Source organism: Homo sapiens, chromosome 8 (genome assembly GCF_000001405.40).
Source record: "Homo sapiens chromosome 8, GRCh38.p14 Primary Assembly".
Classification (NCBI taxonomy): domain Eukaryota; kingdom Metazoa; phylum Chordata; class Mammalia; order Primates; family Hominidae; genus Homo; species Homo sapiens.
The window spans coordinates 105,467,995-105,481,489 of record NC_000008.11 but is presented as its reverse complement, the minus strand read 5'-3'; the positions used below and the strand labels follow the sequence as shown (position 1 = coordinate 105,481,489).

The 13,495-nt window shown below is 37.7% G+C and overlaps 1 protein-coding gene across 9 annotated transcripts in view; it reads right to left on the bottom strand.

The window, feature by feature from the left end:
• Nucleotides 1–13,495, bottom strand: part of ZFPM2 (zinc finger protein, FOG family member 2) — a 486,102-nt gene that overhangs the window by 323,050 nt on the left and 149,557 nt on the right. The window contains exon 2 of one of the 9 annotated variants that reach the window (XM_047421633.1): nt 4,913–5,015. The exons of the other annotated variants lie outside the window; for them this stretch is intronic. The gene's annotated coding sequence lies outside the window, so the exon portion shown is untranslated. The remainder of the gene's footprint in view (nt 1–4,912; nt 5,016–13,495) is intronic. 9 annotated transcript variants of the gene reach the window in all.

The following is a 13,495-nucleotide window of genomic DNA, read 5'->3' as shown; positions in this document are numbered from 1 at the left end:
AGAGGAGGAAGAGAAAGCAGAGCTCCCGTCTTTCCGTGTGCACAAACAGAAAAGGCCACGTGTGCACACAGCTAGAAGGTGGCCATCTGCAAGCCAGGAAGGGAGCCCCCACCACCAACCAGACCATGCTGGCACCTGATCTTGGGCATCCAGCCTCCAGAACTGCGAGAAAATAAATTTCAGTTGTTTAAGCCACACAGTCCAAGGAATTTTGTTATAGAAGCTCAAGCAGATTAATACAGTGGAGCAAAACAAATAGAGAAAATTAAGGGAAGCAATATAGCCCCAATTTTTTTTTTAGAAATATTCTTACACTGAAAGTATGATGTGACAGGCTCTCCCACTATGATGTAACATGTTCTCCTAGTCCGCACTAAACCACTTTTACTCTGACCTTTGCAACCACTTCTGTGAACTGGATTTTTAAAAAATGTAATCCCAGCCAGGCATGGTGGCTCACGCCTGTAATCCCAGCACTTTGGGAGGCCAAGGTGGGTGGATCACGTGGTCAGGAGTTCGAGACCATCTTGGCTAACACAGTGAAACCCCGTCTCTACTAAAAATACAAAAAATTAGCTGAGCATGGTGGCGGGTGCCCATAGTCCCAGCTACTTGGGAGGCTGAGGCAGGAGAATGGTGTGAACCTGGGAGGTGGAGCTTGCAGTGAGCCGAGATCCTGCCACAGTACTCCAGACTGGGAGGCAGAGCAAAAGTCCGTCTCAAAAAAAAAAAAAAAATGTAATCCCACAGTGCCATCATTCCCTAATTCAGGAAACACATATTGCCTGCAGTTATAACTTAAAATATTTCTTCTCCCTGCAAAGGGCTCTTTTCAACTTTTGCAGAATATGCCTTTTTTTCTTGAATTAATTTTACATTCTAGTTCAGTAGTCCACCCTTGTATAAGTTCAATAAATAGTTTTTGATTAAAGAGGAAAATATAAGTCTAGTTGGTATTAAGGGTTTGCTAAAAGGAAAGAGTAGAAATTGCTTGCACATTACATAACTTATTTTCTCTGCGGTAGCACATGCACCTGGACTCTACAATGATACTGGTGACAATACCTGAGATTGTTTAGATATAGTTATATTTGTAGGCTCAGTTATGCAATATAACCTCCGTGTAAGTGGCAGATACGTGCATGAATGCAGGCATAGGAAGATGAAATGATTCTGAAAGGAAGAAAGAAGTGGCAAATTAGATAAGGTACCAATGCTCCCTGGGTAAATGCTGCTCTTTTCTTTCAAGCACCATGCAGTTCAGAAACCTGGGCATAAGATATATGGTTGCTCTCTACTCCCCTGTGAACCATGAAGCAGAATTTAAAATTTCCATTAGTCAAATGAAGCTAAGAGCAGCTACCTATGAGAAAAGCAATGGCAAGAAAACAATGTACTACCATAATCACCCACTCTCAAAAGATTATCACAGCAATAACTGAGCTTACAGCTAGTGGTTACCTACCACTATTTGATGCTCAACGGGGAGTTCAAGTGACTCACTAGCATTTCAATTCCTTGATCTATGCAGTGTAATAAAAACAGCATTGAAACAGAAAAATACTTTAAAATAAGCATGATATCTGATACATAGAAAAATTGGTCGAATTTTACATTACAGATCTGGCAAAGGACTAGCTATTATAAAAAAAAAATGCTCACCAAGCCTGAAGTCACAATTTTTGTAAACATGTTTCATAACATATCCCAGGTTATAGAAAACCAATATTGTAGATTCTCTCAGACAAATAAGCTTCTAATGGCCTTTACTTCCTGAAATAATAAACATTCTTTCACTTCCAGTAACAAGCCAATGAGCTGCAAAAATAGAAATGCAACAAGTTTTTCCAACAATTTCCTCCTTGTTTATAATGGCTGACTCCTAATCATTGTTCTTCAAAAATGGTAGTATTAAATATTTCACTGGTTAGACAGACTTTAACTAAAGTGTATTTATCTTAAAACTAATTATAGACATTACCACATTATGTAAATGTTTTGGAAGAATTTGCACATTTTGAGCCACTACCTTCTGTGTACAAGGTGCAGAATCAGAAGCCAGAAAGGAGTAACATGACTTTTTAAAAAAAGTTATCTGCCCTCAAGTATGTTACAGTCTTAAAAAGAAACAATGTTTACTAGGAAAAAAATAAAATGACAGGTTTTATAGACAATAGAAATACCTATTTCTGCCAGTTCTGAAGGATAGTAAGCGGGAAATAAAATGAAACACCTTCATGTCTTGTTAGTTTTCTCGAAATGACATGAGCTTCCACAAATCGGTCTGAATTTAAACTTCAATCAGAATATCGTAGCATTGGGTCAATGTAAAATTAACCTCAGAATAAGACAAATCAGAGACTTTACCATCGTCAGCTAAGATCATGATACAAAATTCAGGATTTTATGACCTGTGAGAACAACACTTAAAAGAGAAAGTTATACTTTCTGTAAAAAAATATTTCCATTTTTCTAGACTATACATTGCATTATTATGAAGAGCAACCAGAAAATAAATAAAAATTCATGTATTATCTTTGGTCCCTTCTTTATTCTCAGTAAAATGTTTTGGGGCTCGAAACTGAGGATAGACTTTAGTAGCATTCCACGAAATCCTCACCCAGAGGGGTATCCTTGCTAGAGTAGGATAACTGAATACTGATTAGGAGTTTGAAGAAGCCATGTCTTCCAAGGCAGTGCTTCTCACGCCCAAGCTGGTGGTCAGCAGAATGACCAGAGACAGTTTAGGAAAAAGATGCTTATGAAAAATGTCTTTATTAATATTTACAGAGAAGAGACTTGCAAATCTATAGTTCTCTGTGTCTCTAAGGTACTTCCCAGTACTAACACTCTTATTTAACTCAGATTTTATGAAACATAAATTTCTGTGCCATTAGGAAGCCTCAAACTACAAGGATGAGTGACAAAACCCTGCTCCCAGCCCACCCGGATAATTTCCAGAAGGAATCAGGACCATTAGGAGATGTATTAATTTAGCTAACCCTGGCTCTGGCATTTTAAGTATGGGTCCAGTCTCACCGGGTCTTGGAGAGAGTAGAAGACAATCACTTCTTTTGACACATTCCATTCCTATAAAGTTGGATAAGTAGAAACTTGCATTTTTAAACAACATCCAAATAGCATTTTTTCAGTACAATTTACACAGGAAGTTCAACATACATTATCATTCAATCTTCACATCAGTTTTAACCCATGTTGATGTTAGTAAATGAGAAAACACTACACAAGAGAAGCCAAAGCAATTACCCAAACCACACATTCAGAAAGTATCGGGGCTGGATGCTGCCACTTGAACTCAAGTGTGTGAGCTTCCATTCCCGTGGTCAGCCGCATTTAAGATGGAAGATGTCTAATGAGGAAAACAATGAAGTAGAGTTATGTCAAATGACTCATTGTTGCTTTGCAAATTTGGATCAGAGTTCCATGTTCCCAGACTTGAAAAATTTCATTTCCCCTGGAGCCAAAATTAAACAATCCTTATCATGGAAGTAATTGCACTGTGCAGAAAGGAAAAAAGTGATGAATACAACCCTTAATCCTGAGTGATCTGAAGCAGAAAACTCAGAGTAGTAGGATAATGGAAAGAAGACTTTAAAGTAAGTTAGAGACTCAGTTTCTAGGCCCAGTTATTCAAACTCATTATATAACCTTGAAAAAGGCATGCAAGCTATTTGGATCTAAGTTTCCACCTTGGTAGAATGGAAGATCCATTACCTAATGCAAATGCACATGAAACATTGTCAGGCTATCTTTCTCAAGATCGTTACTAACAACTATGTTTTAGGAGAAGATATGGTTAGAAAATCATTAGGTATTATTCTATAAAAGGATTTTATTTTTTTCCACTTACAAACTACTATTAATATTTAATTTGGTAAATCTTATGGTGGATAGCTTTAAAATACCTGCCCATATGATTGATATCATGTGGGGCGCGGTGGCTCACACCTGTAATCCCAGCACTTTGGGAGGCTGAGGTGGGTGGATCACGAGGTCAGGAGTTTGAGATCAGCCTGACCAACATGGTGAAACCCTGTCTTTACTAAAAATACAAAAATTAGCCAGGCATGGTGGCAGGCACCTGTAATCCCAGCTACTCAGGAGGCTGAAGCAGGAGAATCTCTTGAACCCAGGAGGTGGAGGCTGCAGTGAGCTGAGATCGCACCACTGCACTCTGGCCTAGGTGATAGAGTTAGACTTCGTCTCAAAAAAAAAAAAAAAAAAAAAAAAAGATTGCTAGCAGAAAGAAATCACTTAACTGAAATTATTTCATTGTTGTTCAGTATTAAGCACAAGTCAACCAATTTCCAAAATTCTTGAAAATTGTACCAAAAATCCACTATCAGTTGAATATACATCTTGTCAAAGAACATCTTAATACTATGTTACTAAGTTATGTTTTTATTACTATAAACATTTCCTTTTCTTCATGTGAACAGTACACCGGCATAGCTGTGACAACAAATAAAGATGAAACACCAAACATCCAGTTTGTGAGTATTTGCAATCTCTATCTCCTGACTGACTTTTGGAATACTTCAGGATTGAATACGAAAAAGCCTTGTGCTAGGATGGGGACTCAGGCTTGAAAGCTGTAGTGCTGGCATTGACTACCCCCACCCCCAACACCATCCCTAGTACCCCCAATCACCCACCCCACTCTCCATCCAAATTGCTATTTGAGATGCTAATTTTAAAAGAGGATATTTTTAAATGCAAAAAAAACAATAGGTTAAGTTCTATATTTATTCAATAAATATTAATTGGCCATTATGGGCCCTATACTATGCAAATCACTAGTAATAATACAGTAAGCAAGATAGACAAGGTTCTCATCCCACATCACTTCCATTCAATTAAGAGAAGATTGAAAATTGCGTATGACACTAACCTCAAGGATGAAAAGTGCTATGACAGAAGACAGCCTCTAGAGCAGGGGTCCCCAACCTTTTTGGCAAATTTCGTGCTGGTTTCGTGCATGTTTTTCCATGGACCTGGGGAGGGGTGGGGATGGTTCCGGGATGAAACTATTCCACCTTAGATCATCAGGCATTAGTTAGATTATCATAAGGAGCGTGCAACCTAGATTCCTTAGTTCACAATAGGATTCAGGCTCCCATGAGAATCTAATGCTGTCGCTGATCTGACAGGAGGCAGAGCTCAGACAGTAATGCTCACTCGCCCGCCACTCACCTGCTGTGCAGCCCGGCTCCTAACAGGCCATGGGCCTGTACCTGTCTGGGGCCTAGGGGTTGGGGACCCCTGTTCCAGTGGACTACGGGAGAGTAATGGGGAGGTCATCAAATGGCTCTGAGGAAAACCCTTTTAAGAGCAACTGAAAGTCATATTTGCACTACCAAATAGTAGTTCGTGGCATTATTCAGGATAAATATTATGACAAATGCTTTTAATGTGACTTTTAGATGCACATCAAAATGTCTCATAGAGGTTTCAAAAAAATATCAAGATCACCAATGCTAGTCCGTAAAATTCTGACTCTACAGCTCTGGCTATCTGTTGTTTTATAAAGTTGCATACATATTTATGATGTACATCTCATTTTGAGCACCACTTTCTTAATTTGTCTCCTCATGACTCATTTTTGGAAACTCCTGATTTTTTTGAAATGAATCCCAAAATCAGAGGTGAAAATTAGAAGTTGCCTTGCAAGATAAGAAACATTTCTCTATATCAATAAGTTAATGGGTAAAATTTCTGCTGTTAAAAATTAACAACAGCTGACGAATTTTGTTTTCACTGCTTATTCACATGAAAAAACCATTCCCTAAAGACTTCCAGAGATGATGTTAAAAACGCTTTTCTAATTCACATTGAAATTTGTAACCATGCATATCCAAATTTATCTAAAATCCAGGCCAGTTGCTTCCTCCGCTTAAATCTTTTGGCATTTGCAAATTTTCTTTGGCTGTAGCATTGTGACTGGACACTTAACATTTCCTCAGCAAATCACAAGCACTACACAGTTCAAACACTTGATCTCTGCCAACAATCAAAGGTTTTATGTTAAACTTGTACATTCAAGCTGTTTAGGATTGATGATATTTATTTATGTGCACGGGGTACCAAGAGGGAGCACCGAAGTGTTTCCTAATTTCTAGGTCAAACGTAACTTCAAATGAATCGTTGGTTGAGATGTCATAACAATGAGAAGCAGAGAGGATCTTTACAAGAGGTTAGGGATTTTCCTTGGAAAGGTTGTCTTGTGGTTATAAAATTAGAGGGAGAAGAATTAAAATGATTACGCTCTAAAAATGACTTAGTAGAAGTGACAGGGTTGTTTTTAACCTAAATATTTTTTAAGTACCAAATTTGTCACTCCTCTAAGTTATATGTTACCAACTGTAAACTCTCTTTATTGCAGCAGTAAAAGAAATGAAGTACTTTTAGCCAATGTTTTTCCATAAATCAGGAACTTTGTATTAAATCCACATTTTATTTGCTTATATGGATGTTCTTTCATTTTGACTGAACTGATACAGACTACTGAATCACAGAATAAGGTGCTTTGGAGAAGCCCTAAGGCTCAGAAAGTGGGTTTCCCAGAGGGAGATAGGCCTGGGAAGCTGTGGCAAAGAAGAAGCTAAAGATGTTTGTTATGCTTGACTTGAGAAAAGGAGAATTCATCTATGATGGATATTTTTAAAGCCACAGTCTCCACACAATCACTTCTACACTCACCTAATCATAGGATGGTTTTAACGGCTTTGATTTTAAACATTCACCTATTAGGTTTGCAAATTACTATGTAAGTGCACATTAGCTAATGAATGATAGCTAATGATTGACTATAAAATCAGATTATAAGAAGATAAATGATATAAATTTTCCATAGAATTCTCATTCTTTTTTATATTTAAAGGGTTATAGTTTTTAAGATAACTTGCTTCTTATTTTTTTTTAACTTACCAATTACCTTATGAAAAGACAGGAAAAGCAAAAAGGAGGGAAATCACAAATCTTTTGATGTTTGCTTCTCACTAGCAACTTAGTTAAAAATGTTGATAATGTTCTAAACTGTTGGTGAAATTAAGTTATTTAAATCACAGTGGATTCACTCTTCCCCATCACTGTCAACATGGGTAAATAAGAGCTAGTTGTAGCTGGATTGAAAATTGTAGATAGTTGTAGCTGGATTGAAAATTGAAGACTAACGTAATAACTTTTTATCAACCTTAAAACAAAGTGACTCATAATACATTCCCATTGTACATTTTCCCCTGGCATGGGAGTTTCAGATATAAAAACAGAGCGAAGAGAGACAGAAACAAAGACTGAAACAGAAAACTAAAAACAAAAATCTTAGATTTTATTCGGGAGCACATCCAGTAGTCAAGAACCTCGCTTAGTCACTTTGTTAATGGACTATCAAGTATATCATCATAATCTAATATAAATCAATTACAACTAAACCACCACAGTAGTAAAACTGCCATATGGCAGGGTAGCCTGTTTAAGGCAGCAGAGCCCTGTAAGTGCTTTGGAACTTTTCCAATCTAAGCTGCAAAACTAAACCATAGAGTCAATGATATTCTCTCCCCACTATTGAAAACTAGTGTGTTTGCACATGTGTATGTATGTGTGCTATATATTATTTGTATATTTGTGTATATACCTATATTTATATATACACACTCACATATTAACACACATTTGCATATGTATGCATAGATAACAGATGTATTAATACAAAGTACTTTTTTCTAAGTCTAAGTGCCTATATTTCTGAAGGCTTTGGAAGTGGGAGAGAAATGCATTTCTTTAATTCTATTACTCTGTGGGTGTTTCCTCAGGATATAAAAGATTGTTAAAATAGGAATCTTAACTCAATGGCTTTTAAACTCTGTCTTGAGCTCTCCTCAACTCTTCTGTGGCATAGCTGATTCTTTTCTTTCCTCTCTTAACCCACCAGAATTGAATAGATCTCGAATCACTAAATATTTACTGAGCAACTACTGTTTTTGAGGCACTGCAGTGGGCATTACTATGTAAATAAAGAGGTAGTCAGCTAGTCAGGGAGAGATGGTATAAACATGAAAAATGTTTAAAATAAGATTATAAACATTAATTTACAATGTGAGAGAAACAATGTCACAAAATGGCATTTGATTACACAAAGTAGCATCTTATTACTTACTAAATGAATTGTATAAACTACTGTTGGCATGAGGTCCCCACAAAAGAGAGAAAGATCATAGAAGATCCTGAGTTGGATCCTAAAAGATGCAATAGACCAGGCACAGTGGTTCAGGCCTATGATCTCAGTCTATGCCTGTAATCCCAGCACACTGGGAAGCAAGGCAGGAGGATCACTTAAGGCCAGGAGTTCAAGACCAGCCTAAGCAACATATTGATGCCCCATCTCTACAAAAAATAAAAAAATAAAAAATCATCTAGGCATGGTGGTGTGTGCCTGTAGTCCTAGCCACTCAGAAGACTGAGGAGGGAAGATCACATTAGCCCAGGGTTCCAGGCTGTAGTGAGCTATGATCTAGCCACTGTATTCCATCCTGAGGGATAGAGTAAGACCTCGTTTCTTTAAAAAAAAAAAAAAAAAAAAAGGTCCCTTTAGGAGAAGAGGGGAAAGACATATTCCAGGTGAATGAAATCAAAGGGATAATAAATACAAAACACAAGGAGTGAGGCCAGGCGCGGTGGCTCACGCCTGTAATCCCAGCATTTTGAGAGGCCGAGGCGGGTGGATCATGAGGTCAGGAGATCGAGACCATCCTGGCCAATAAGGTGAAACCCCGTCTCTAATAAAAAATACAAAAAAAAAAATTAGCCGGGTGCGATGGTGGGCGCCTGTAGTCCCAGATACTCGGGAGGCTGAGGCAGGAGAATGGTGTGAACCCGGGAGGCAGAGCTTGCAGTGAGCCGAGTTCACGCCACTGCACTCCAGCCTGGGCGACAGAGTGAGACTCCGTCTCAAAAAACACAAAACAAAACAAAACAAAACACAAGGAGTGTTCAGAAGTCAGAGGTCAGTGATCTTTTCATATTTAAATTGTTCTCCAGTTGTAGAGACTAAGTTGTGTTACTTATCAGAACTAATGATTCAATAACATGCCTTCTGTGATGTTGGTGAAAAATAAAATGTTTTCTAAGTAAACCATCAGGGATACTTACTTGGATGAAGCAGTGAATTCATAATGTAGTTACTTTAGATTCCCCAGTAGCTTTAATGTTTTAACTTGGTAGTACCATGGAAATAATGAGAGGGATAACTCTGCTTATTCTTAAAACTATGTACTAATTATTAGTTTGATTCTTTGAAAGCATATTGGTGTACTGACTAAGATCTACTTTTTTATCATAAGCTTTGCCAACTAAAGTGTAAGACAACTAAAGCTCAGTGGCCTCCAGTTTATTCTGCAGGTGTCTATACAGGTTCTCAGAGATCATCATGCATAAAATTTTATGCATTTTATGATTCTGTTTATCTGGGATGGTGCTCAAGTAATCCACCGACCACATTTTTTGAAACACTGGGCTAGAAAATTGGGGTCTTGGGTAATAATCCAAATGATTCTGTGAGAAGGTCAAACCCTGGCAGCTTAATCTAAATTCTTTTTATGATAAGGAGACCATGCAGGTCTCCTTATCTGATAAGAGTTCTGATAGTGTTCTGATAGAGTTATAATTAAGCAGACCTTATGCTCTAATAAGAACTGAAATTCTTAGCAATAAATGGAGAATAGCTGATATCAGTAGAGAACTTAAAAAGACATTCTCAACAAGCAAGTTTCTATTTGGATTTGGAGAGGATGTAAAAGGTTCCGCTTGCGTACCATCAACCTCCTCCAACTCACCACCCTCAAACCCCAATGTTCTGAGCTGAATCTTTGAGAGAAACATATTAGTGCTTGGCCAGCCACAATCTACATTCTGATGATCAGACTTGACACCAGGTTAATCCTGCCAATAAATTAGCTGAGTAAGCTATCCCATCCTCGTCCAAAAAGTTTTTGCCCAATCTTAAAGTGATAAAGTGGTACCACTTCAGAATGAAAAAAGATTAACTTCTTGGTGTTCCATGGGATTTTGATTAGACTCCTGAAATAGTGTCAACCATGACAAATTCAAATGAGGTATGTTTCTGCCTCTCTTCCACCCAGTGAGCAACATAAGCTACAAATGGCATATTTTGTCATCTTTGTGGCCCCAAATCTAGTAAGCACTCAATAAATGTATACTAGTCATGTATACAGAAAAATCATCACTGTCCAACTCCGTCCTGAAGCTGAGACTGAACGTATACATAGTTTGCCAAGAAAATTCAGAGATGGAAACAGCCAAACAAGAGAACATCCCTAACGCAGTGTAAGAATCATGAACCAAACGAAGCTGTCAGAGTGAGAAAAGTTAAAGGAATAGTCAGAAACTATTTCTAATGAGACCTGCAGAAAAAAGATTTTCAATATGTAATAAGCAATCAAACAAGAGCCATACCTCATGGAGTAGGAGTAATGAACATTTTTTTTGAAATGTCAGCCATTATTTTATATGAAATATTAATAGTAATGAGAAATTTAAAATAATTTTGAATTTAGTAATTTTTAAGAGGAAACAATGTAAAATATCTAAAAATTTAAAATTAAGAATAGGGAACATAAATAACTAATATCATCAATGAAAGATACAATAAAAACCTTCTCTTTCTATTTTTTTTTTAGATGAAGTCTTGCTCTTTCACCTAGGCTGGAGTGCAGTGGCACAATCTTGGCTCACTGCAACCTCCACCTCCTGCATTCAAATTATCCTCTTGCCTCAGCCTTCCAAATACCTGGGACTACAGGCATGTGCCACCACTCCTGGATAAGTTTTGTATTTTAAATAGAGACAAGGTTTCGCCATTTTGTCCAGGCTGATCTCAAACTCCTGACCTCTCAGGTGATCTGCCCACCTAAGCCTCCCAAAGTGCACAATAAAAACTCTTTACATTTATTATTTGTAGTTAAGTAAACACAGAGACACAAGCTACCACTTCCATGTTGTTTACCATCCCCAGGTACCATCCTCTGTGATTCACAAGTATGAAGATATCTCATATTCCTAGTAACCCTATAAGGTAGACATAGTTTTGGTCCATTTTGTTGATGAAAATACTGAGGCACAACAAAATTAGCTTACTTTTCAAAGGTCACCTAGCTAAACAGCAGGAGTCAAGATGTGAAATAAGTTCGGTGTCCCGGCTCCTGACTCTGTTATTAAGCCCTGTGCTATCCATCTCTCTCAAAAAATAAATTTAAAAGAAGAAGGAAGAAGAAAAAGAGGAGGTAGAGGGGGAAGAGGCAGAGAAAGGAAGAGTAGAGAGGAAGAGAAAACAAGTTATTTTTGAAAGTTCTTTAATATATTGTTTTTTGAAAATAGTCACAGTATTTGACATAGCTTTTACACTCATGGCAGGTAGCATGCTGCCTTACATGTCATTATCATAACAATGGCTAATATTTTAAGTACTTATTGGGTAGTAAAATGGGAATATTTATAATGACAATAATAATTATGTTAGCTAAAAGTTTTTGAGCATTTACTCTGTGCCAGGCACTTTGTTATGCCCTTTATATGAACGAGTTCATTCAACCCTCTGATGAGCTATGTGGCTTTGTGATATTGGGCAAATTATGAAAATATATAACCCATGCACAAAACATGGGCTTAATAACAGAATCCCATCATAGTGTTCTATGAGACTAAATGAGTTAACACAGGTAAAATTTTTAAAACTTACTGGAATGTGGTAAACTCACAACACACTTTAGCATTTAATACTGATAGAATTACTATTATTCTTGTTTTACTGATAAGGAAACTGAGGCACATAAAGATTAAGGGACTTGCTCAAAGTCTCAGAGCTAGAAGGTGACGAAACCAGTATTTGAGGCTAGTCAGTCTGGCCCTCCACACTGTCAGTGCTCAAGAAATATTGTGTGAATGCATGCATGCATGAATGAGTACACCAGCTGGAGAGCAATGGGCAGGTAGAGAAGAAACTGGCTAGGTAGAAACTAAAGAAAGAAGAAAAATGGAAGACGCAGTCATAAAAAGGAGTAGGAGATTGAGAGATAGAAAGGGGAAAAATAAGAGAGAGTAAAGAGATGTAAAACAGAAGAGATCATTACAGGAAATTCTCACATAATAGTGAAGCCATCTTCTTTTAATCACAAGCAGCAATTAACTTAAGAGTGAGCACTCTGAAATATTGGAGATCATACTGAGAAAATTAAAAGCAACATTAAAGCAGATTCACCTTGAAGTTGGCAAAACTTATTATATAAGTGGGCAAAGATAATAGGAAAAAATTCTGGTGACATGGCTCCATGATCAAAGTGGTTACAATACCTCTAAGCTACAATGTTTCTAGATTTGTGTGCTCTGAAGAGCTCTCTGGGCTGCCCCATCACTTTTCCCCCTATGGGACAAGTGAGAATTTGAATTTAGAAAGGTCTTCAAGAAAGAATCACTCACATAAAAAAAAAAAAACTGCTTTGTATTCAGCAGAGTAGTTAAAAATAAAGCAGAGAGGAAAGAGGATTAATGATTCAAAGACTGGAGAGTTTTAGAACAACTATTGTGGAGATTTCTATACAAGGTTATTGGGGAATAAATACAATAACTAGTAATAACTTAAATTTGCAACAATGCCAACAAAAAGGAGTATGATTTTCTCAGGGCCTTAGATTGTTGAGAGGATTGCCTGAGATTCTGCTTAGTGTCTGGCACAGTGCCGCATATGCATAATAAATGCTCACTTAATACATTTAAGCTATTATTTTTCCTGGTGATTTAGGTATAGGGCATAAAGACTATCTACTCCCCATCTCACAGTAAAGCAACGATAAGCCAGATCACACAGAGGTCAAGGCCATGGAAGGTGCTAACAGGAGTAATGTTGAAATGGGAGGTTATGGAGCTGAGATTGAGTACTACTGAAAATGAAGCCAGGAGCTGCGTAGAGTCCTCATTGAGGTTGCAAAGTAACACACAGCCAGTTATACATAGAGAAGGGAGTGTCTAGGTATGTAATGATTCTGAGTGATGGAGAGGGATAAAGCGTGGTTGTAAAAGAGGGTTGATACATATGAAGGAGGACATTGTTCCCTGATCAGAAGTGGCCATGAGGTTACAGGGGTAATGGCCACAAGTGCAATTTGGGAGCAGAGAAGGAGGAACTCTAAGAGCAAAGAGAGAAAATGGCAGGCAAGTGTCAAGTACCCCTGGGAAGAGTCCTGAGGGAGACACAAGATTAGCAAGTGACAATGGAGAAAAATGTTCTTGGTTGAATGCTAAAGAGAACGGTATATCTAGGAGGCCTGGACACCGAAGAAGTAAGGATGGTTTGTTTAACAAAGATGATAAAATGGGAGCTATGAGAAGTGATAAGAGAGGCCAACTAAGAACAATGAGATAGGGGACATGAGTGATAGTGGAGACAGAATGGTGTTGAGAAAAT